We start from the raw sequence: 25,586 nt of genomic DNA on the forward strand, positions 1-25,586 counted from the left end.
ATAATGGTATGAACAGAGGTTCTCAGCACAGTTCATGTAGGTGTTCTCAGCACCCACATGAACAGTGGATGCTTGACGGAGAGGACTACTCTGCTTGCCTCGAGGAGTCACAGAAGTTTTACAGGACAGGTGGCACTTGGATTGGGTATTGAAGGATGTGAAGAGTTTTGCTGGGTGAAGAAAAACTGCTGGAGGGAGAACTTTCAGGAAAAGAGAGTAAGATGAGTATAGGTGACTCTTGTTATTTCTGGTAGTTATGGTCTGTAAAGTCAGCACAAACACTGTATTAGTTAATATTGAATCATTCCTCTGGGGCAGCGATCCCCAACCTTTTTGGCACCAACGGCTGGTTTTGTGGAAGATAATTTTTCCATGGAAAGGGGTAGGGACGGTTTTGGGATGAAACTGTTCCACTTCAGATCATCAGGCATTAGATTCTAATAAGGAGTATGCAACCTAGGTCCCTTGCATGTGCAGTTCACAATAGAGTTTACTCTTCTATGAGAATCTGATGTCACCGCTGATCTGATGGGAGGTGGAGCTTAGACAGTAATGCTCACTCACCAGCTGCTCACCTCCTGCTGTGAGGCCCAGTTCCTAACAGGCCAGACTGGTAAGGGTCCTCGGCCCAGGGGGCTGGGGACCCCTGCTCTAGGGGAAAAATACCAGATTAGGTTCCTCTTAGCCTCTGGTCACATTTTTATCAATCGGTCAATACATAACCTCGTTTTATATGTGTTTCTGTTTAAAGACACCTTATTTAATATTTGTTGATTCAGTAAGACTGAACTCATGGCTAACAGCACTTCAACTCTGCCTGAACAAAGCTTATCTAATACATGTATTTTCTCAGTAAGGCACATTACAGCCTTCTTGTGTTTAGAAACACTAGACAGAACTTCAGCACTATGCTTGGGGATCTTTTTAAACAGTGAAATCACCAACAAAAAGCACAAAAATGCAAAAAACATGGTACCCGATATATGACAAAGAAGACACTTGTTTACAGGATGAGAGGTGAAATAAGTACACAAAACACTGCCTTGTGCCACCTCAGCTGGGAATGTGCACGTCAGGAGACTCAGATGTTTTCACTGCCCTGTCCATGTGAATGTCTGAGATTAACAGCCAAAGCATGCTGTTTGGTCTGTTCAGGCTGGTAAAACAAAATACCTCAGACTGTTATTTATAAACATGAAATTTACAGTCCACAGTGCTGGAGGCTGGAAAGTCCAGGATCAAGGCACCAGCAGATTTGGTGCCTGGTGAGGGCCCTGTTTCTAACAGATGGTGGAGGGGACAACGGAAGCCCTCAAGCTGCTTTTGTAAGGGCAAAAATCCCCTTCACGAGGGCTCTGCCCTCACAGCCCACCTAATCACCTCCCAAAGGCCCCACCTCCTAATACCAACACATCAGGGATAAGATTTCAACATACACGTTTTGGAGGGACACAAACATTCAGTCCATACATGGTGAGTATTGATTTTGGGGTTACAAGTAAATTTCAGTGAGTACAGAATCTAGAATGTGTGAATATGAGGATTCACTGTATATGAAAAAGTTTGGTGTACTCAAATGATAAAGGTAAGTTTGGTGACGTTTATGTCGGGAGGATGAGAAAACTGTGGAGAGAAAATTATTGAAGGTAAGTCAAATATTATAATAATATATTTTAAAATATTATAAAATTAAAAAATCTGAGAATTCCTCCAGAAAATAACATATTTTTAAGTATTTGTTAATGAAGAAAAAACTACAATGAATTCATGATTCCTTTAATCAGAATATCCATATTTTTTGGGGAAAAAAGTACAAATTCATGGAAAACACTTATTCAGTTCATAAGCAATACTGGGTGTGAGGGAGTGTGTGTGTTTTGAAGGACCCAGGACACAGCAGTCCATCATATGGGAACTACTGTCGTGCACCCAGGGGAGTAGCTCAGGCAGGGAGAACAGCATAGGTAAAGGCCCTGAAGAGGAAGCGAGCTTGGGTTATGGGAGAACCTGACAGGAGGTCATGGCTGGAACACAGTAAACAAAGGGGAAAGTAGAACAAGCAAAAGGCAGGGGTAGATTGAAGTTTAGATTTTATCTTAAATAAAATCCCTCAATAGGGGCATGATTAATAAATCAATATATTGGCAAATGAGCTTGAGAACCATGTATTATACTATTTATATTATTCACATATTATTTATATTAAATATACCATGTTTATGTACACAAACATACATACAACCACATAAAGTGTATATATAGCATACACACATACACACATTTTACAAATGCTTAGAAAAGCATTTCAAATTGCTACCAATGGCTCCTTGTTGAGGGGAATGGGCATATAAGAGAAAAGATACAGGGAACTTTCACATTTTAATCCACATAATTCTATATTTTTAAGTAAACAGAACATGAGAGCTGTGAATGGTTTTAAATTTTTCCATATTTAAAATTCTAAAAGATCATTCTGGCCTATAATAATTGCATTGAAGTAGGGCAAGAGCATGAGTAGGAAGCCCAGATAGACTACTGCTCAAGAAATAATGGTGATATGGACCAGGGCAGTGGCAAAAGGTATATACATTGAAGAGGGCATATGCAACCAAGATATATTTCAGAGGCTGAAATGACTAACCTTGATAATGGACAGAATATGGGAGATACCGGAGAAGGAAGAATAAAGACTTCAAGATTTCCAGCTTGAGCAAGTGGGTGGGCTGTATTATGACTCATTATGATGGAGAAGAGAATCACAGTCACATCTCTCTGACAAGTCTATTATGGTGCATTCTATCCATTCTCTGCCTCTACCACATGAAAGACAAAGGGACAAGATGAATTTGATGTGTATGAGAGAGACAGGGTCACATCTGGGAAACCAAAAAGCCCTGTATCAGTAATTACACTGATTGAATTCTGTGAGGTTCATTCCCCAAAGACCAGGTCAACCTTTCTACAGAGGACTCGAAATCCATTAGGGGAATTACCTCTCCCATTGACAAAGCAACAAATGAGCTGTTGCCAACCCTTTAAATATTGGAGAAAGAAAGGTCATTCCCCTGAGGGACCTTGCTTTCATGTCCTTGAATGGTCTGATCTCAGTTATATTTAAAGCACTGAATTAAGCAAAGGTTACCAGGGAAAACCAGGGCAAAGCTGGGGGAAGAGTAGACAAATGATGCCCAGGAATATAAATTGTTTCCTTTCTTCTGGGACAAAGGCTTCTCTCTCAGTCCCGCAGGCCCTCCAAAGACCTGGTTCCATATTTTCGTAAATATACATCTGATTGTTTTACTTCTTTGCTTTAAATTAGCTCACTACTGTCTTCAACAGTGGTATTCAAACTTCAATGTGCATCAGAATCACTAAGACATCTGTTCACAATGGAGAATACCAGGCCTCAGTCTCAACAGGGATTCAGATCAGTAGGTCTGGAGTACAGTCCAGGGATACAAACCTCAAATGACTCTACTACAGACTATTCAAGGACCCTATTTTGAGAAACAATGCACTAAATTGTTAATGATGATTGACAGGATGTAGCCTTGACTTAGTGACCTGCACTAGAGGAATAAATGTATCAGGAGTTTAGATATTCAGGTTGTGATTCCAGCTGTCTTTGAAATGTGAACTTATGGGGGAAAATAAACACTTTCCTGCTCTGGGCCATTTCCTCATCTATAACGTACAAGTGTTGACTTTATTATTGTTCCCACCATCACTTCAATTTCTGACATTTTAAGATCACAGGAAAAGACAGAGGATTGAAAATGTCAGGCAGAGCTTCTGGACTGTGCTAGACTGACTCTCCCAAAGGTGCCCAAACTGTGAAGACACATGAACATGCGCACAAAGTCTGGTGCTTTCTGGAGAGCTTTTCCCATCTGGACTAGCCATCTGGAGTCCAGTACACAGTGGAATTTGCTGGTCATAAGCAAATACAGTATCATGAAAAGCTACTTCCAAGGTACAGAATGAACAAATAATGGGGCCCTTCAGGAACTTGGCTTCTCTTCCCTGGTCACAGTATTCTACAAAAATGGAGGGAAATCATTCAAAGGATGACATGAGAAACAGAACCAAATTCCAAAGATTAATTCAGGTGATCAAGTAAATGGACTATCTTGCTCCTGGGAGCCCCAATTTACATCAGTCCAGCTGCTTGAAGTATTGCATATGTAGCTGGAAAACATTCCCATACAGAGACTTCCTTAGCCTCTCTAGGAGCTATTGGAAAGGCTTTTGTTTAATTTGTAAGAATTCAGTATACAGAATTAAAAGAATGACCCTGGGCTGATCCTTTTTTTTTCTTTTGTTTCCTTGTTGCCAGAAATCATCATTACATAGATATAATTTAGATAACGTAAAATGCATCCATCTTAACAGTTCAGATGGCTGAATTTTACAAATGTATTTACCATCTAACCACCACTTCAATCAAGACACAACATTTCCATGACCCCAAAGAGTTCCCCTGTGCCCTTTCCAGGTGAATCCTCACTCCCTATCCTGGTGCCAGGCAAACACTGATCTGCTGTTACTATAGATTAAATTTGTCTTTTCTAGAACATCACAAAAAATGGAATCATGCAGTATATATTCTTTTGTGCCTGGCTTTTTATGCACAACATGAAGTTGTAATTACTGACTCATATTGCTGCATGTATCAGTAGTTTAAAAAATTGCTGAGTAGTGTATGATGGAGGTACCATTATTTAGCCATTCACCTATTGAGGGATAATAAATAAGGTTGTTTCCAGCTTGGAGCCATTATGAACAAAATAGCTATGAACATTATTGTACAAGTCTTTTTTGTGAGCATAGGTTTTCATTTCTCCTGGTTAAATACCTAGGAGTGGAATGGATGGGTCACATAGTAAGTCTACGTTTAATTTTATAAAAAAACAAAAAAACAAAAAACTACCACATTGTTTTCTGAAATTGTTGTACTGTTTTTGCAGTCCTATCAACAACGTATGAGAATTCTAATTCCTTCACAAGACTTGGTCATTATGGCGACTGTAGGGGATGGGTAATGTTATCTCACTGTGTGGTTTTTTTTTTTGGTTTTTTTTTGTTTTTTTTTTTTTTTTTGAGACAGAGCCTCACTCTGTTGCCCAGGCTGGAATGCGGTGGCATGACCTCGGCTCACTGCAACCTCTGTCTCCCAGGTTCAAGCAATTCTCCAGCCTCAGCCTCCCAAGTAGCTGGGACTATAGGTACCTGCCACCATGCCCAGCTAATTTTTGTATTTTTAGTAGAAATGGAGTTTCACCATGTTGCCCAGGCTAGTCTCCAACTCCTGACCTCAAGTAATCCACCTGCCTTGGCCTCCCAAAGTGCTGGGATTACAGGTGTAAGCCACTGCACCCAGCCTCGCTGTGGTTTTAATTTCCATTTCTCTGATGATTAACGATGGTAAGCAACTTTCCATGTGTTTAGTTGTCATTTATCTTCTTTTGTGATAGGTCTGTTCAATTCTTTCACCATTTTAGAATTAATTTTGGGGGTATTATTGAGTTATAAGTCCTTTACATATTCTGGATGCAGTTGTCAGACAGACACAGACACATATACACACACATAATGGGAGCAAGGGAGGACATTTTCTCCCAGTCTGTGGCTTGCCTTTTCTTTTTTGGAATTTAAATTATTATTTTTAATTGACAAATAATAATTATACATATTCATTTTCTTAGTGGTATCTTGTGGTTTTTTGTTTTTTTTTTGAGACAGAGTCTTGCACTGTCACCCAGGCTGGAGTGCAATGGCGTGATCTGGGCTCACTGCAACCTCTGCCTCCCAAGTTCAAGCGATTCTCCCACTTCAGCCTCCTGAGCAGCTGGGATTACAGGCACCCACCATCAAGCCTGGCTAATGTTTGTATTTTTCTTTTTTAAGACGTGGTTTCACTGTGTTGGCCAGGCTGGTCTTGAACTCCTGACTTCAGGTGATCTGCCCACCTTGGCCTCTCAAAGTGTTGGGATTACAGGCGTGAGCCACCGTACCCAGTCTTTAGTGGTATCTTTTAAAGAACAAACGTTTCTGAGTTTGATGAGTCCAACATCAATTTTTAAAATGGTTCAGGCTTTTTTGAGTCATTTAGCCACATAACCAAAGCAAGGCTAAGCAAAGAACAAATCTGGAGGCATCACATTACCTGATTTCAAACTATACTATAAGGCTATAGTCATTAAACAGCATGGTACTGGTATAAAAACAGGCACATAGACCAATGGAACACAATAGAGAACCCAAAAATAAACCCAAATATTTAAAGCCAACTGATCTTCAACAAAGCGAACAAAAACAAAATGGGAAAAGGACACCCTATTCAACAAACAGTGCTGGGATAACTGGCAAGCCACATGTAGTAGAATGAAACTGGATCCTCGTCTCTCACCTTATATAAAAATCAACCCAAGATAGATCAAGGACTTAAATCTAAGACCTGAAACTATAAAAATTCTATTAAGATAACAGAAGAAAAACCCTTCTAGACATTGGCTTAGGAAAAGATTTCATGACCATGAACCCAAAAGCACAGGTAATAAAAACAAAGATAAATAGCTGGGACTTAATTAAACTAAAGAGCTTTTGCATGGCAAAAGGAACAGTCAGCAGAGTAAACAGGCCAGAGTGGGAGAAAATCTTCACAGTCTATACATCTGACAAAGGACTAATATCCACAATCTACAATGAACTCAAGCAAATTAGCAAGAAAAAAACAATCTCATCAAAAAGTGAGCTAAGGACACTAACAGACAATTCTCAAAAGAAGATATGCAAATGGCTAACAGACATATGAAAAAATGCTCAACGTCACTAATGATCAGGCAAATGCAAATCAAAACCACAAAGCGATACCACCTTACTCCTGCAAGAATGGCCATTAAAAAAAAAACAAAACAGATGTTGGCATCGATGCAGTGAAAAGGGAAAACTTCCACACAGCTGGTGGGAATGTAAACTAGTACAACCACTATGGAAAACAGTGTGAAGATTCCTTGAAGAACTAAAAGTAGAACTACCATTTGATCCAGCAATCCCACTACTGGGTATCTACCCAAAGGAAAAGAAGCCATTATACAAAAAAGATACTTGCACACACATGCTTATAGCAGCACAATTTGCAATCGCAAAAATGTGGAACCATCCCAAATACCTATCAATGAGTGGATAAAGAAACTGAGATATATATATGTATCTATACAGATAGATATATGATGGAATACTAGTCGACCATAAAAAGGAATGAATTAATGGCATTCACAGCAACGTGGATGGGATGGAGACTATTATTCTAAGTGAATTAACTCAGGAATAGAAAACCAAACATTGTATGTTCTCATTCATAAATGGGAGCTAAGCTATGAGGATGCAAAAGCAAAAGAAAGAATGATGCAATGAATTTTGGGGACTCGGGAAAGGGTGAGAGGAGGGTGATGGACAGAAGACCACAAATTGGGTTCAGTGTATACTGCTCGGGTGATGAGTGCACCAAAATCTCACAAATCACCACTAAAGAACTTACTCATGTAACCAAATACCACCTGTTCCCAAAAACCTGTGGAAATACAAAATTTTTTAAAAAATGGTTTAGGCTTTTTTTTGTGTCTTATCTAGGAAATCTTTGCCTACCCCAAGGTCAAAAAGATTTTTTGCTTTTCTTATAAATGTTTTATAATTTTAGCTTTGATATTTGTCTATGACCCATGTTTGTATAGAGTATGAGAAAAAGGTCATGGTTCAATTTTTTTACACATGGATATCCAGCTGTTCTAGCAGCATTTGTTGAAAAGAAATATCCTTTTCTTATCAAATTACCTTTGCATTTTTGTTAAAAACCAATTGATCAAATACATGTAGGCCTATTTCTAGACTTCCTATGTTTAAATAATATCATTTTTCATATATGTCAGTATCATGCTGTCTCAATTACTGCAGTTTTATAATAAGTCTTGAAATCAGGTAGTGTAAGTTCTCCAACTTTGTTCTTTTTCAAAGTTGTTTTGGTTATTCTTGGTCCTTTGCATTTCCATACGGATTTTAGAATCAGTTTGTCAATTTTTACCCAAAAAAGAGAAGTGCTGGGATTTTGACTGGGGTTTCACTGAATCTATTGATCAATTTAGGGATTATGTTTCCTTTACTGTTTGATTGAATTTACTGAAGAAGCCATCCAGGCCTGGAGGTTTCTTACCTCTCCCGTTGGCAAAGCAACAGATGAGCTGTTGCCAGTCCTCTGCATGTTGGAGAAACAAAAGTTATTCTCTTGAGGGACCTCATTCTCATGTCCTTGAAAGAACTGATCTCAGTTATATCCAAAGCACTGAATTAAGCAAAGATTTAGTGAAAATCAGGGCAAAGTTGGGGGAAGGGCAGACAAATGAGGCCCATGAATTATATTTAAATTATATATTTAAAATTATAATTAAATTATTTTAACAGGTATAGGGCTCTTCAGATTTTTTGCTTTCTTCTTGTGTCAGTTTTGATATGTGTGTCTTTTATAGAATTTCATTTATCAAATTTATTGAAGTAAAGTTGTTCATAACATTCTCCTATTATGCTTTTATTTTTTAATGAGATATAATTTATATTCCATAATATTCACCCCTTTCAAGTATACAATTTAGGGTTTTTTGTATATTCACAAGATTATGCAAACATCACCATTATCTAATTCCAGAACATTTGCATCACCCCAAAAAGCAATCCCATACCCATTAGTCAATCTCCATCTTCCCCTTCTTCCATCCCCTGGCAATTACTAATCTCCTATTAACCTTTTAATGGTATAGGATCTGTAGTGATAGGCTGACTCATTTTTGGTGTACTCGATTTCGCCAAGGGCCAGGCTCCCAAGGCAAGAATCTAGAGTAGAAGTCACATTACAATCTTAGACTCTGGAGAGACAAAGAAGAAATATTTTTCCTGAAGTTTCTTAACCAGGCTCCTTATTGCCTAGCAGTGCTTTTCAACCAGTGATGAAGTGCCAAGTTATTAAAAGTTTTTAATTCCTTTAGCCCTCAGAGAAACTGTAGTCCCTGGGCCAGTTACCCCTTGCCAATAGCTACCTGCAGCCTGACATTAAAGTATTGTTTTCTTTGTATAATGTAATATGAAAAAGTTTGAAAAGCACTGTCCTACAGTGCCAAGTCTAAACTACTCAGGATAGCATTCAAGGGCCTTCCTTCATTTGGTTCCAAACTGCTACCTGAAATTTTCAACCTTCCCTCCCCTCCATGCCTATTTCTCAGCCTCAAAACATCTGACATTCCAGGAAAAGCAAACTGCTTTAATGTGATATTCCCTGTGAAAATCCTATTAATCCTTCAAGATTCCACTTGAATGCCCAAAAGCCTTCCTTACTCTCTCTGGGAGGACAGGCACAGTGCCTCTCCTTCCCTTCTAGAGATAGCACGGGAACTGAGCTGAGCTGAATGCCAACTGAGGACTCAGTACTGATGAGACCTCAGAATATAAATCCCTTTTCATACTTTCAAAATTGCCTTATGAGTAGGGAAAGAAAGGGATTATCATAATCATTTTACAGATCAAGGAGCAGTGGTTGAGAAAATGGTAATATCTTACTAAACTCATACATGGAAGTCTGTGGCAGAGCTGGGACAAAAACTCTAGTCTTTTTTTATTTTTTTATAGATAGGACCCAAAGCCTTTTATTCTAAAATGAGTCTTGTCTCTGAAACTGCAAAAATTGCCCAGCAGTGTTCTACACAATTTAGATTTACTTTAAGGTATAAAACTAATACAGAATGGAGATCAGGGCTTTAGACAGGAATGAATCCTGAATGTTTAGGCAGGGCAAGAGAGAGCTCCACAGAGGGGAGGTGGCACAGGGAGGCTCCAGGTGCCTTGCAGCCAGCCTTCTTTGTAACTTTATAATCTGGTGTGGCCACTTAGCAGGTTCAGAGTTGCCTCTTTGTGTGGAGGTAAGTGATGAGCACTTCTGGATATAAAGCACCAGGACCTTTTCATCTTAAGAAGTGAAAAATCCCTGGTCTTTTTATTTCTGGCACTTTTCTTTGCCTGTGCCTGAGTGGAAAATGCAGCTAAATAAATATTAGAGTTGAAACATAGTTTTTAGATAATTTTTCATCTTGAGACATCCTGACCCTGAGGAATAGGGCTCTCTGGAGTCCGGGATGCATTCCCAAGGTCTCAGTTTCTCCCAAGACCTCAGAGCAAAAGTTTGCAGATTCCAACTGAGGAGCTATGGCTTCCTAGAGGAAAAGGCAAGCATTGCCCATGCTCAACCCTAGTGAAATTCTAAATAAAATTCTAAGACTGAAACAAACCATTTCTGTCCTTAATCCTTCTCTGAGCAAAAATATTTTTTACACTGTAGCAGTCAAAAATACAGAATCAAGCCCAGCAGTTTAACGTCTAGAATGCAAACCCCTATATTAAAACATCTATACCCATTTACCAAGCCTGCCCTATACCTAGAAATTTAATACTTTATCTTTGTTAGAACCTTCAACTTTACCCCAAATGGACATGAGCTTTCAATAAACTAGAATATAACCTGATTTACTAATATAAATCCATCCCAACCTAATCTAGAACCTATATACTTTTTTATTTTTATTTATTCATTTTTTTTGAGATGGAGTCTCACTCTGTCAGCCAGGCTGGAGTGCAGTGGTGCGCCCTTGGCTCACTGCAACCTCCGCCTCCCAGGTTCAAGCAATTCTCCTGCCTCAGCCTCCCAAGTAGCTGGGACTACAGGCACACGCCGCCACGCCCGGCTAATTTTTTATATTCTTAGTAGAGACAGGATTTCACCATGTTGCCCAGGCTGGTCGTGAACTCCTGAGCTCAGGCAATCTGCCCACCTTGGCCTCCCAAAGTGCTGGGATTACAGGCGGTGAGCACTGCGCCCGGCCCCTATATACTTTCTTAAGCTATCAATATAGTCATTCAGATCATAAGTTTTCTCTGAAAGGATTATAAGTATAGATTTCATTTGGAAGCAATCCTTGGTTTATAAAGCTACAAGCTTCATCATGAATGTTATTTATGTTATTTCAGGTACACAAGTGTTTGCAAGCGTCTTGAAGGCAGAGAGTGAAAGGATGTACAGACAGTGGAAAATAAACAGGATTTAGATTCTGAAGATACAGGTTAAAATTCCAGCCTTTACTTATTAGCTGCATGACCCTAATGAGTCACTTAACTTCTGCTGTGTGCCTTAGTTTCCTTGTTCGTAAAATAGATCACATTCCATCCATCTCACATAGTCACAGAAAGAGATAAAGTAAGGTATATATGTTTTACAAAATGTGTTATGTATAAATATCAACTTTTATCTTCTAATTGTTTTGAACATGTATCTCTCACCAGGCCTGTATTTGGGCATAATTCAATGGAACTGATCACAGCAAGTAATTAAAAATACTTCCTAATATTTATGTAGGAGACAGTATTAATGGTCAATAAAACCAAGCATTCTAAGAAAAGTTAGATACAGCACCCTTATGTGAACTCATAACCTTGAAAAAATTAACTTTCCAACTCAGTCACTAAGAGTAGCCCATGACAGCAACAGTGCTTATGAACACTACAACCTCTACAACCTCATGTGCACCTAGAGTCCTAGAAGTGGGTCCTTTGCATTATTCTCTACCAAAGGAATCAAAACTCTCTGGAAAGGGGTTGATTCTATGTTGTGAAGTTAAAAAAAAATTTAAGGTAAGCCTGAAAATTATTTTTGTTCAATAATAAAAGCAAGGTTGCTTTAAAATATATCACAGAATTGTGTATGAAATTTGTGATGGGGAAAATAAATAAAGGAAAAAATAAATCACAGAAAAAAAAATGTTAAGGACTTGGCCAGGCATGATGGCTCACACCTGTAATCCCAGCACTTTGGGAGGCCAAGATAGGAGGATCTCTTGAGCCCAGGAGTTTGAGACCAGCATGGGAAAGATGGTGAGATCCCATCTCTACAAAAAATGTTAGAGAGAGAGAGAGAGAGAGAGAGAGAGAGATGTTGAGTCAAAAGATACGATTTAAAGGGGCTCCCAATGTCCAAGTTGTAACATTTTAAGTTTATAACTAATTGAATCTGCAAACATAGGAGTTCATGATATTCAATGGAATAAAGTGTATGAGTTATTTTTTAATACAAAAGAAGTGAGAATATAACAGTGTAATGGTTAATTTTAGGTGCCAACTTGACTGGGTTAAGTGATACCCAGATAGCTGGTAAAGCATTATTTCTGGGTGTGTCTTTGAGGGTGTTTCTGGGAGAGACTGGCATTTTAATCAGTGGACTGAGTAAGGAAGATCCATTCTCACCCAGTGTGGGTGAGCACCATCCAATTTGTTGAGAGCCTGGAAGAACAAAAAGGCAGAGGGAAAACATTTTCTTTTCTGAAGCTGAGACACCCATGTTTCTCTGCCCTTGGACATTATTGGAACTCCAAATCCTTGGGCCTTCGGACATCGGAACTCCAGATGCTTGGGCCTATAACACTTACAATACAAGACATATTATAAGTGTTAAAACAGGGAGAGAGAGTATAAATAATTATGAAAATGAGTCTATTCTACTTTGAGGAGGGAGTCAAAAATACACTAGGTTGAAAGAGTAGAAAGACAGTCTAGATTTTAAGCACAGGACGCATAGAAAGAGAGGGCATACGGGAGGCTGAGGGTGCAGTAAGCCGTGACTGCAACACTGCACTCCAGGCTGGGTGACAGAGCAAGATCCCTACTCAAAGAAAGACAGGGCATCTTTGATGTGATTATGGGAAAGGATGTGGGGAGAGAGGTCACTGCAAATGAAGATGGAGAGGCAGGTTACAAGACAGGATCCTGGAGGACCTTGAATGCTGCCATTATCAAGGAGTTTGAACTTAGCATCTATGTGATTGGAAGAAACAGGATCAGATCAAGATTTTAAGAAAACACAACCAAGCTATATACACAACATGAGTAAATTTTACAAACACAAAGTTGAGAGAAGGAAGCGAGTATAAAAATGTGATTTCAAAAGTTCAAAAATAAACAGAACTAACAATATTTCTTGAGAATACACATACTTATGGTAAAACTGCAAACAAAAGCATGGGCATGACTACCACAGAAGTCATGATACTTGGAAGAAGGGATGGAGTGGAATAAGAAGAATATGACTGGAAAGAGACATTCAGGGATTTCTGGGATGCTGGCAATTTTTTGACCTGGGTGGTAATTACATGGGTGTTTCCTTTATAGTACAGTATATATTATATATAATTTTTGTGTGTGTATTCCATTTCACAATAAAAAGTTGAAGACATAGTTGGAAACATCCTGGAAAGATGCTGAGGGTAGGAGAAGTCTAGAGACAGGAAGAGAAATTAACAGCTAGTCACGACAGTACAGGCAAGGGAGAGCCTGAGTAATGTCACTGGGAGTGGGGACAGAAAAAAAGGTATTTGAGAATTACTTAGGAGTTAGGTCTTAGTGACCCACTAGAAATGAAAACTGCGGGAGAGAGAAGAGTCAAAAGTAACTGCCAGATAAAAGTTTCAAGCTTGGGAGATCAGATGACAGGTAGGGAAATATTAAGAGTAGCAGACTCAAGCAATTAAAAAAATTGAGATATGATTCACATGCAATACAATCTACCCTTTACAGTGTACAATTCAGTAGCTTTTAGTATACTTGCAAGGTTGTACAACCATCACCACTATTTAATTCCAGAATATTTTCATCACCCAAAAAGAAATTCCATACTAACTAACAGCCTTTCCCCAGTCCCTGTCCCCCTCCCCAGCCTTCATGTAATTTTAAGAGAATAAAATCTTGTGGTTAAACCCTGCCCCCTGCCTTTTTTTTTTTTTTTTTTAAATTGAGACAGGGTCTCAGTCTGTCGCTCAGGCTGGAGTACAGTGGCATGATCACAGCTCACTGCAACCTCAACCTCCCCAGGGTTGAGGGGATCCTCCCACCTCAGCCCCCTGAGTAGCTGGGACTACAGGCACATGCCACCATGCCTGGCTAATATTTTTTTAAAAAACCTGTCTTGACAGAGCAACAATGATATTCAACTGGTCTCAGCAGTTCAATCCCCAAGATCTTAATTTGCTTCTCTATTTCACAAAGTGGAGAGCTCTGGGGAAACAGAAAAGCTGCTTTTCTCAGGATATAGAGAGTAACATCCTGTTTCCTAGTTCTACCTTGGATAGGGACTCAAGTCAACAGAGAGAGATCAAGGGTGGCAGAGAGAGGTGTCTGGTTATAATGGCTTTCAATCAGTCCCAGTACGGTTCACTTTGGGGAGGGTTAGAAATGTGTGTGTGTGTGTGTGTGTGTGTGTGTGTGTGTGTGTGTGTGTGCGCGCGCGCCTGTGTGTGTGGTGGTGGCAGTGGTGGGGTAAGTTGTCACAATGATTGGAAAGCCTTACAGGCATTAGAGGGCAGAGGACAGGTATATTAACCTCAAACCATGCATAGGATAAAATCTCGCATAACAAAGAATTGTCCCACCTACAATTTCAATACACGCCTCTGAGAAATGTGGGGGTGGAGGGAGTGAGGGGTTGGGCAGAATTCCTATTATTTCTGCAAGTACAAAAACCAAAATGAGCCGGGTGCGGTGGCTCACGCCTGTAATCCCAGCACTTTGGGAGGCCAAGGCGGTTGGATAACGAGGTCAGGAGATCAAGACCATCCTGGCTAACACGGTGAAACCCCGTCTCTACTAAAAATACAAAAAAAAAAAAAAAAATTAGCCGGGCACGGTGGTGGGCGCCTGTAGTCCCAGCTACTCGGGAGGCTGAGGCAGGAGAATGGCGTGAACCTGGGAGGCGGAGCTTGCAGTGAGCCAAGATCGTGCCACTTGCACTCCAGCCTGGGCGACAGAGCAAGACTCTGTCTCAAAAAAAAAAAAAAAAAGAAAAAAAAATCAAAATGAAAGTTATGATCTGTAAGCGGGAACCAGGCCCAGGCCCAAGAATGTGTGGTTAAAAATAGCTTAGAGAACAGAAGATTTAAATGAGCTCACAGTGAAAAGGGTTATTAATGGAAACTCAGATATTAATAGTGATGAATCTCAGTTCACCAAGGCGAACCGCAGCCCAGGCCTGGTCGTGTTCCAGCGCCACTGTCCTTCAGTCTCTGATGTGTGTTACAGCTGCAGCTTCAGGTGTGGGAAAGAGCAAAGTTCATTGCCACAAACCCTGAGCCTCGTATCACCCATCAGAAAGAGTACCCTTGTGGGTATGTCCTACAGTTCATTCTAAAAAAATAAGAAGACCCATTAGGGAGCTCTCTACACAGGGGAAAAAAGTTTGATTTGTCTCCTTACTAAAGGTTTTTTCTTTCACTACAATGATTTTGTATGAAATTCTGCCACTGAAGAACCCTGTTAAAATTAGCAATTTACTTTCAAACATTTATTATGTGTGAAGCTCTGGGAAGCAGAGGCAACAAGATGGGACAGTTCTCAGATCAAAAGGGCTTCTGTTCTAGTGGGGAAGCTAAAATATGGGCACAACTTCATAAAATATACATCTGCCTATATAATGTACTGAGGTAAAAATAATTTACTAAATGAAAGTAAGTTTTTTCTTCCCCCCATATTTACTGAACACTTATTAGGTACATTTTATATACATGAAAGTAAGTTTTGGGGTCAGCTTCATTACTTAAGAGCTGCATAAAAATGAGCTCTTTCATATACCTAAGCCTCAGTTTCAATTATAAAATGAAGATGATAATCCTAACCAGGTTGTTACAAGAATCAAGTAAGGTAATATAAAGGTTGTTTTTTTTTCTTTCCCTAAAGAATATTATATATATAAACTTTCCTATAAAGTTCTATTACAGAAAAGGAAGAATTTTTATTTGATATAAGAACAGTTCAACAAAGGATAGAGCATTTGAACTGGGCTTCAAACATACGGTTAGGATAGTAAATGCATTACACCAAAAGTAATAAATTATTCAATAAGTTTTCACTGAGCCACTATAACATAACAACAAAAGCCTCTGCGTGCCAGGCTGTGGGCCAGGCAGTGGTGTTGGTACTGCTTATTATATTGCTTTTAAATTGCCTCCATGCATTTGTTTATTCATTAATTCTTTCCATAAATACATAAGATACAATTAGTTTACCAGAGTAGCAAGACACCTAGAAAGCCTGAGACAACTGGACTTGGAGCGAGGCGGTAGTTAGGTATGAGGCTGTGGGCAAGAAGAGGTGCCTACAGAAGCTCAATCCCACCAGGTCATACAGAGGCCAGAGCCCTGAGGCCCTGAGATGGGGTGAGAGAAACAGGTAAGAGGCAGAGCAGAGTTCTACCGACAATTTTACCTAACAAACAATGCCGTCCAGGGCTGGCTGTAGTGATAGACATCAGCTTCATGCCTTGCTGCAAATTACGAAGAATACCAACCTTCCTCCCATGTCTAGGCTTGAAAACAGCCCTTTTTCTAGGTCTGTGTCACAGGGCAGCACATTACATAAGATGCCCTGAACTGAGGGCACAACCAACTGAATGTTCCTGGTGTTTACTGTAAACTCTGAGCCAGCATGACCTGTGGAGTTTAAAAAAAAAAAAAAAAGGTAATTTCCCTACAGTTCTTCAATAAGAAAGTAAGAGGAAAACAAGAGGGAGATTCTGGGGTTTCTCCAAGCTGTGTGGTCTTTACCACCACCACCACCACCACCACCACAACAAAAACAAAATACAGTTACTTTGGGCCAGGCACTCTCCTAAGCACTTTACATATAAGAGTTCATTCCATCCTTACAACATCCTGTGAGTTGTTACTATTATTATCCCATTTTATTTTATTTATTTTTTGAGACGGAGTCTCGCTCTGTCGCCCAGGCTGGAGTGCAGTGGCACGATCTCAGCTCAGTGCAACCTCCACCTCGCTGTTTCAAGCAATTCCCCTGCCTCAGCCTCCCGAGTAGCTGGGATTACAGGTGCCCACCACCATGCCCCGCTAATTTTTTTTGTAGTTTTAGTAGAGACAGGGTTTCACCATGTTGGCCAGACTGGTCATGAACTCCTGACCTCAGGCGATCCAACTGCCTCAGCCTCCCAAAGTGCTGGAATTACAGGCGTGAGCCACTGCGCCTGGCCTATTATCCAATTTTAAAGATGAAGAAACTGGGAGGGTGAAGTGGTTAAGTAACTTAATTGTAGATATAAAGTTATAAATCGACAAAGCAAGGACTTATGACTCTGTCCTCTGGGCTCTTTTTGCTCACCAAGACCTGCCCCACGTGTCTCAGAAAAGTACTGAAACTTCTCAGATCTAGTGTCCTCAACTCCCATCAAGGGTGGCAGAAACGGGAACTAAAAAATATGTGTTTGTGTGTGTGTGTAATATAAAACATGATATACTGTTTCATGTTAATTCTTAGAGAATCTCTGGGTGGTGATCTATCAGTCCTTGGTCTGCTATTTATTGTGTGATCACCACATCTCAGGCAAGTTCCTTGGGCTAAGATTCATGAAGAAGGTGTCACTTGCTCTGTTCATAAGGTTGTCACGAGAATCTGATGTGTATAAGCCTTAGTGTATTCTTTGGGATCACTCTAAAGCTTTTTTTTTCCCAGCACTTTTTTTTTCAGTTCTTCACATGGTTTGGATCAATGCAGCTGCCAGATAAACAGCGTTACCTACCACAATAAAGCAAAGACTGAATCCGAATCCTAGACTGTTGAGAATATTAATGGCCACTCCTGTTTTACATGTCAAGCACCTCATATGATGCCTGACTCAGGGTTCAATGAATGGTTCCTTTACTTCCCCTCCTGGCTTTGTGCTTTTAAGGGTGAACTGCAAGGTGCTTGATGCTCCCAAATCCTGAGGCTAAGGAATAATCCAGCTAGGAACAGGACATAGAACTCTGGTATTGCCCCACCTCAGGATCACCAGGGATCATGTGCAAGACCCACAGCCTCCCTATGATTCAGTTTCTCCACCCCTCCAATAGGCTGATTCATTTGTTCAGGGTACACCATGGAGTCCAGCCAAATGCAAATAAACTGTCTATGGGGCATGTGCCAAGCTTTTCTGGGAGCAGGCTCATTACTGCCATAGTCACTACAACAAATAACAACAAAAGCCTCTAGGTGCAAATTACCACATATAATAAACTTAATTTAAGAAACACTGAAGAGACCCTTACTTGCATTTTAATTTACATAGCACCATTTATCACACAAGTGCCCTGGGGCCTCTACAAATTGAAAATAAGGTATCAGTACAGATTAGCTTCTACTATGCCTCAGTGATCCTACCAACTTAAATCCACCTACCAAAAAAATGTGAAGAGAGCACATGAAAGACTACAGAAAGAGTAATGGAAAAGAAGACACAGTCTGAAAAACATGGCAGAATTCTAAGTTCTAGTTCTAGCTGGGTTATTCAGCTAGTTAGCCTCTGGATGTGGGAGTGTCAAGTCCTGTGCAATTCACCCATAAAAGCACAAGGCCAGGAGGGGAAGTAAAGGAACCATTCACTGAGCCCTGAGTCAGGCAGGCATCACATGAGGTGCTTGACATAGGGCTCGCATGTAAAACAGGAGTGGCCATTAATATTTCCAAAAGTCCAGGGAGAAACCGTTGTGATGGTACTTGCAAGCCTCTTTTCCAAAGTAATACACTGAAAGTGTTATAACAGTGACAAAAAACACCATATAGACAGACAGACAATAGCAGCTTGCACTGCGTCCCATATGACATGCCAAAATTCTTCACTCACATGGTGTAATTTTTAATACAACCACTTAGGAAGTAGACGCTATTATCCTCATTTTGTAGATGAACAAACTGAGTAGCTTTAAGTGGTTAAGCATCTTGCCTGAAGTCAGTCCCCTAGGTTTAAGTCCCACCTTGATCTTCTGCTAGTTATGTGATTTCAGCCAAACTCCAACTTTGCTGTGCTTTAGTATCTTAATATAATGGAGATAAAACAAGTCTTCCCTGTCATTCACTGAAGGTTACAAGTATAACATGTTATACAGAATATTAAAGTGTCAAGTGTATATAGAAGTACCTTGCTTTCTCCCAGCTAGATTACAATCACTGGTGGACAGAGACCAGGTCACATGCTTACTTTAAATCCCGGAAGGTAAGACTATATTGCATATGTGGAATGGTTATGCAAAGGAACAAAAACTGTCGGTTTAGTCATCTTTTTGACACATTTACAGAACAGCCACCTCTGTGCCACAATGCTACTGGGACGCAGAGGTGAAGAGGTGCCACCACCGTCAAGAGGCCTTGGAGAAAGACCATGGCACATTAAAGGTAAAGTGAATAAAATGAACGTGGTCTGTAAAGGCAGGGCTTGCTATGGGAGCAGTGAGAACTAACATGACTCCATTACAGCTTCACAGTGGCAGCGAGGGAGACAGCAGATAAAGCTCAGAAAACAGGCTGGACACAGACTGTAGAAAAGCTTTCAAAGAGTTTCAGAAGAGACAGCAAACTGAAGGAGCTAATTGAGAGAGTAAGAGAAGGAAGGAGAGTAAAAGGGCAGGGGGGAGGAGGTCTCTGAGTGAATTATAAACACACTTCAAAGTTCTGCTCACGGCTGGCTGTCTATCCCAATCTTATTTTATTTTGTTTTGCTTTTCCTCTCAGTCTATTCCCCTCTTCTTCTCGCATTATTTCAAAATGGCTTTCCCCCCTTTTTAATGTCTTTGAACTGCCAAGGATAGCAAGAAGCCTGCTTTTAGGGGATCCTCAGGAATATTTCACCTTCTGTTTTCTCATCTATAAGGTAATTATAACACATCCTAGGACTATCACACAAATACAAAAGAAATAACAGAACTTTTCAGCAAATGGTGCTGGGAAAACTGGATATCCACATGTAAAAAAACAGCTGGACCCTTATACCATATACAAAAATTAACTCAAAATGGACCAAAGACCTAAATATAAGAATGAAAATGATAAACCTCTCAGAAGAAAACATAGAAAAAATGTTTCATGACAATGGATTTGACAATGTTTTCTTGGATGTGACACCAAAGGTATAGGTAGCAAAACAAAAAATAGATAAATTGGACATCAAAATTAAAACTTTAGTGAATCAAAGGACACAATCAACCAAGTGAAAAGACAATCCACTGAATGGAAGAAAATATTTGCAAATCATATATCTGGTAAAGGATTTGTGATGGTTAATATTAGGTGTCAACTTGATTGGATTGAAGGATGCCTAGATGGCTGGCGAAGTACTGTTTCTGGGTTTATCTGTGAAGGTGCTGCCAGAGGAGGTTGACATTTGAGTCAGTGTACTGAGAAAGGAAGAGTCACCCTTAATATGGTTGGGCACCATCCTACTGCCTGTCAGCATGGCCAGAAGAAAGCAAGCGGAAGAAGGTGGAATAAGCTTGCTTGCTGAGGCTTCTGGCTTCCTTCTCCCCACTCCCCCTCCCCCTGCCATATTGGATGCTTCCTCCCGCTCCTCCTGCCCTTGGACATCAGACTTCAGGTTCTTTGGCCTGACACTGGGACTTGCACGGGGGGCCAGGGGGTGGGTGTCCTGCCTTTGGGACTGACTTAAAGGCTGCACTGTTGTTTTCCCTGGTTTTGAGGCTTTCAGACCCAAACTGAGCCACTACCGGCTTCTCTCTTCCCCAGCTTCCAGATGGCCTATTGTGGGACTTTGCATTATAACTGTGTGAGCCAATTCTTTACTTTCATAATATACATATTATGAAATATGTATAAACTCCCTTTCATATATACATATTATTAGTTCTGTCCCTCTGGAGAACACTGACTAGTACAGGATTATAAGGGGTTAATAACTAGAATATATAAAGAACTACAATAACAACAAAAACAAACAACTTAACTAAAAATTGACAAAGGACTTGAATAGACATCTCTCCAAAGAAGGGATACAAAATGACCAAGAAGCACATGAAAAGATGCTCATGTCACTAATCATTGGGGAAATGCAAATCAAAACAATGAAATACTACCTTGCACCTATTAATATGGCTACTTTAAAAAATAGAAATAAGTGTTGGTGAGAATATGGAGAAACTGGAACCCTTGTGCAATGTTGGTGGGGATATAAAATAGTGCAGCTGCTATAGAAGAGAGTAAGGCAATTCCTCAAAAAATTGAAAATAGAATTACCATATGATCCAGTAATTCTACTTTTGGATACAGACCCCAAAAAACTGAAAGCAGGAACACAAACGGAATATTTTTACACCTATGTTCATTGCAGCATTAGTCAGAAGAGCCAAAAGGTGGAAGCTACCCACATGTCACTGGTGGATGAATGGAGATATAAAACACAGTACATGCATACAATGGAATACTATTCAGCCTTAAAAAGGAAGGAAATTCTGACACATGCTACAGCAGGGATGAACCTTAAGGGCATTAAGCTAAGTGAAATAAGCAGTTAGAAAATACCATGTGATTCCACTTATATGACAAAGTTACATGGCAAGCCTAGAGTAGCCAGATTCAGAGAGACAAAAAATACAACAGTGGTTATTAGGCCACCGGAGGAATAGGGCATCAATGTCTAATGGGTATAGTTTCAGTTTGGGAAGCTGAAAGGAGTTTTGGAGATGGATGGTGGTAATGGCTGCACAGCAATATGAATGCATTTAATGTCACTGAACTATACACTTAAAAGTGATTACGATGGGCCGGGCACAGTGGCTCACGCCTGTAATCCCAGCACTTTGGGAGCCAAGGTGGACAGATCGTAAGTTAAGAGATTGAGACCATTCTGGCCAACATGGTGATACCCCATCTCTACTAAAAATACAAAAATTAGCTGGGTGTGGTGGCGGGCAGCTGTAGTCCCAGCCACTCGGGAGGCTGAATCGGGATAATCGCTTGAACCTGGGAGGCGGAGGTTGCAGTGAGCTGAGATGGCGCCACTGCACTCCAGCCTGGCAACAGTGCGAGACTCCGTCTCAAAAAAAAAAAAAAAAAAAAAAAGATGATTATGATGGTAAACTTTATGTTATGTGTATTTTATCACAATCAAAAGAAGAAATAATTTTTTTAAAAAGTAACATATATTAAGCATTCAGCAAAGAACTTGGCAACGAATCTTTGCTCCTTCCTTTCCTCCTGATGCAATCTTTTGTTTCAAGGTTCTTTTTAAGTTACCTAAGGAGATCAGCCCTAAACAGCCCTGCCATTATATCTGGCTGATCATCCCAGGGTGAATTCTTTTCTTTTCTGGGCTTTGGTTTTGTCAACCATTAAAAAACAAGAAAAAGAAGAAGAAGATTAAACTACATTACATTTCCTTTTAACTCTAAAACTAAGAACACATTGAAGGTAAAAGAACTTACAAACAACCTGGCAGGAAGGAAGAAAAAGATATTCTGGAGCATTTATTATGTGTCAAATATTGTACTAAGGGCTGGGGATCCACAAATATGAATATACAAAAGGAAGATAATTCCTGATTTAGGGGAAAATAATAATAGAAATCACAATCTTGTATATAGTTGCTACTAGAGGGTTACAGGAACAGAACTGATTACCTACCAGGGAAAATCCATCAGAGAGTTGATAATTGAGGGAGACTTCTTTTTGAGGAGGGAGATGAGGGATCAGGAGTGAATCTGGTGGAACAGAGGCAGAAGGGCTATCAGGAGGAGGGACCAGCACAAGCACCTTACAGAGTGCATGCACTAGTCAGGGTCCTGGAACAGTCCAGAGAAGCGGTGGGAGCCAGTCAGGAAAGACATTTTGGGATCTGATTGTTAAATGCCAAAAAAAAAAAAAAAAAGCTGTGAAAAGGAGCTTGACTTTCATCCTGAAGGCAGTGGCGGACCACTGACAGTTTTAACTGGAGAGGGATAGGATCCAGTGTGCATAGTAGAAATATCACTTTGGCAACAGCATAGATGAGGATAGATTAAGGGAAACAGGAAGCCCAGACAAAACAGGATAAGGGCCTGAACAACGGCAGTGGCAGTAGGGAAGGAGAGGAAAGAAAGATCCCTTTGCCTCAAGCAGCTCCCACAGATAAAGGCAGGAATGGTACGCAAACTCCAGAAGGTTGGCTCTTGCACACCAGGGACCTTGAACCACATTCTTATTTCTAAACGGTTTCTGACGAATTCTGAATGTCCCCAGGTCCAGGGCAATCACTTAAAGGGAGGAAACTGGCATAAAAGTTAATCTGTTTCAGCTGCTATGTTATCCACCACCCCTTCTCACCAGAAATAATCGGAGGCAGCACTGGAAAAAGGAGCATCTGGATGCAGTAAAGACCCATCCCTTCCCGCACTGGAGCTGTTGGCTCATCCCTGGAAATCACAACAATCAAGAATGGAGAATCGTTCTTTTCATCCCTTCTCACAGCATTATCCCAGCAACCTCATCCCCTAACAATGGTGTGGTCTGTGTTATGTTTTCCCTCCATCACTGCCCCTCCCTGCTGCTGCACAACAGAGGTGCTGTGCCCCAGAGGCCGCTGAGGTTGCAGGCCTCTCAGCCTCTGAAACAAGGCTGTGAGCGTTTGGATGCACCCTCAGAAGGAGCTGCATAAATAATCAGATGAAAAACACCAAACCTTAACTAAAAATGAATTTTTTTTCCTCCATTTTTTCCTCCATTAAACCAGCTAAAAGATTTTCATGACAATTCCCTGTAGTGTGATAAAACAGACACCCTTGCATGTTGCTCTGAACTATTTGTTAGTATTATGTGTTTGGAAAATAATCTGGCAGTATTTCAAATGCCTTAAAAATGTTCATCCCTTTGTGCCCAATAATTCTCATTTCTGGCATCTGACTTTAAGGTAATAATTCAAAGGAAAGAAAAAGATGTATGTATGAAGATATATATTGCAGTACTAGTTGGGGAAAAAAGTGGTAGAGTTTCTGTTCTTTACAGTTTTCTCCCATGTTTTCCTCTCTAACTTACCCTTAGGCTTGGTAACATTCATCTCTATGGCTCTTGATAGAACCAGACATAATGACAGAAACTGGAATTTCTCACCCATGTTCACAACCTAAACAAGATCTGCTATAAAAATAATTTACTATATGACTAATCATACTTAGCAGAGAGCCACATTTGAGGCCTTTTCATTTTTATGAGATATAAAATTATTAAAGTGCACTTAAAATAAAAAATTAACTTACACATTTATTATTCTACTGTAAACCAGGCACTGTGCCACGGGCTGAGGATACAGCAGTAAACAAAACAGACATGGTCCATGATCTCAGAGCTGAGTATCTGGCAGAGATATAAAGAAACAGACTTTTTTTTTTTTTTGAGACCGAGTCTTGCTCTGTCACCCAGGGTGGAGTGCTGGAGTGCACCGGTGTGATCTCGGCTCACTGCAACCTCTGCCTCCTGGGTTCAAGCAATTCTCCTGCCTCAGCCTCCTGAGTAGCTGGGATTACAGGTACACACCACCACACTGGCTAACTTTTGCATTTTTGTGGAGATGGGGTTTCGCCATGTTGGCCAGGCTGGTCTGGAACTCCTGGCCTCGATCTGCCCCTGCTTGGCCTCTCAAAGTGCGGGGATTACAGGCATGAGCCACTGCGCCCAGGTGAGAAGAAACAGATAATTTTGAAAAACAATTTTATTTTCTTTTTTTCTAGAGACAGGGGTCTCACTATGTTTCCCAGGCAGGATTTGAGCTCTTTGGCTCAAGCAATCTTCTTGCCTCAGCCTCCCAGTAGGTGGGACTACAGGGATGTACCATCATGCCCAGCTAAGAAACAGGTAATTATGATAAAGCATGATCAATATTATGATCAAGGAAAATATGGTGCACCATGAGAATTAATAGCAAGGAAGAGGGTCTTATCCTTGTTCAATGTGGGAAGAAGATAAGGAATTTGGACATCATCCTAAGGACAACAGAAAAGAGGAGTGCTATGGCTGGATTTATGTTCTAGAAAGATCACTCTGGCTGCTGTGTGAAAAGCTTGAGAAGAGCAAGCCTAGCATCAGGTATACTAACTGGGAGATTTTTTTCTTTTTTGAGACAAGGTCTCACTCTGTTGCCCAGGCTGAAGTGCAGTGGTGCTATGACAGCTCACTGCAGCCTCCCAAGTAGCTATGATTACAGGTGTGCATGACCACACCTGGATAATTTTTGCCTTTTTTTTTTTTTTTTTTTTTGGTAGAGATGGAGTTTTGTCATGTTGCCCAGGCTGATCTATCTCAAACTCCTGGGCTCAAGTGATCCACCTGCCATGGCCTCCCAAAGTGCTGGGGTTACAGGCATGAGCCACTGTGCCCAGTCTCAACTGGGAGATATTATAGTCCCAGTAAGAAATTATGGCTTAAACTGTGGTGGGCAATGGAGAGAGAGAGAAGGTAATGCAAAAGAGATATTTAACTGATCAATTTCTTAGTCACTGCTGGAATGTGGGGGTTGAAACAGAGTGAAGAATGACTTACAGGTTTCTAGCTTGAGCCAACTATGACATCTACTGAGGCAGGTTTCCCGAGCTGTAGGCCAAGGATTTGGTCTGAAAAGTTCATGCATGGGTTGGAGATGTACATTTGGATGTCATCAGCATATAGGAAAGGTAACTGAAGCCATGGGGGTGGATATGAGTACCCCTGTA

General features: G+C 40.4%; 1 protein-coding gene and 1 long non-coding RNA gene across 5 annotated transcripts in view; one reads left to right on the forward strand and one right to left on the reverse strand.

Moving 5' to 3' along the window:
- Nucleotides 1–25,586, reverse strand: part of GAB2 (GRB2 associated binding protein 2) — a 202,528-nt gene that overhangs the window by 80,320 nt on the left and 96,622 nt on the right. Inside the window, exon 1 of one of the 4 annotated variants that reach the window (XM_047427935.1) lies at nucleotides 2,642–2,664. The exons of the other annotated variants lie outside the window; for them this stretch is intronic. The gene's annotated coding sequence lies outside the window, so the exon portion shown is untranslated. Of the gene's footprint in view, nucleotides 1–2,641; nucleotides 2,665–25,586 lie in introns of those variants that run through there. 4 annotated transcript variants of the gene reach the window in all.
- LOC105369402 (uncharacterized) lies at nucleotides 1,152–24,867 on the forward strand. Its single transcript, XR_950343.4, has 3 exons — nucleotides 1,152–1,473; nucleotides 19,197–19,293; nucleotides 23,212–24,867. It is a non-coding gene; the product is annotated as an uncharacterized LOC105369402 (long non-coding RNA).

Source organism: Homo sapiens, chromosome 11, assembly GCF_000001405.40.
Source record: "Homo sapiens chromosome 11, GRCh38.p14 Primary Assembly".
Taxonomy (NCBI): domain Eukaryota; kingdom Metazoa; phylum Chordata; class Mammalia; order Primates; family Hominidae; genus Homo; species Homo sapiens.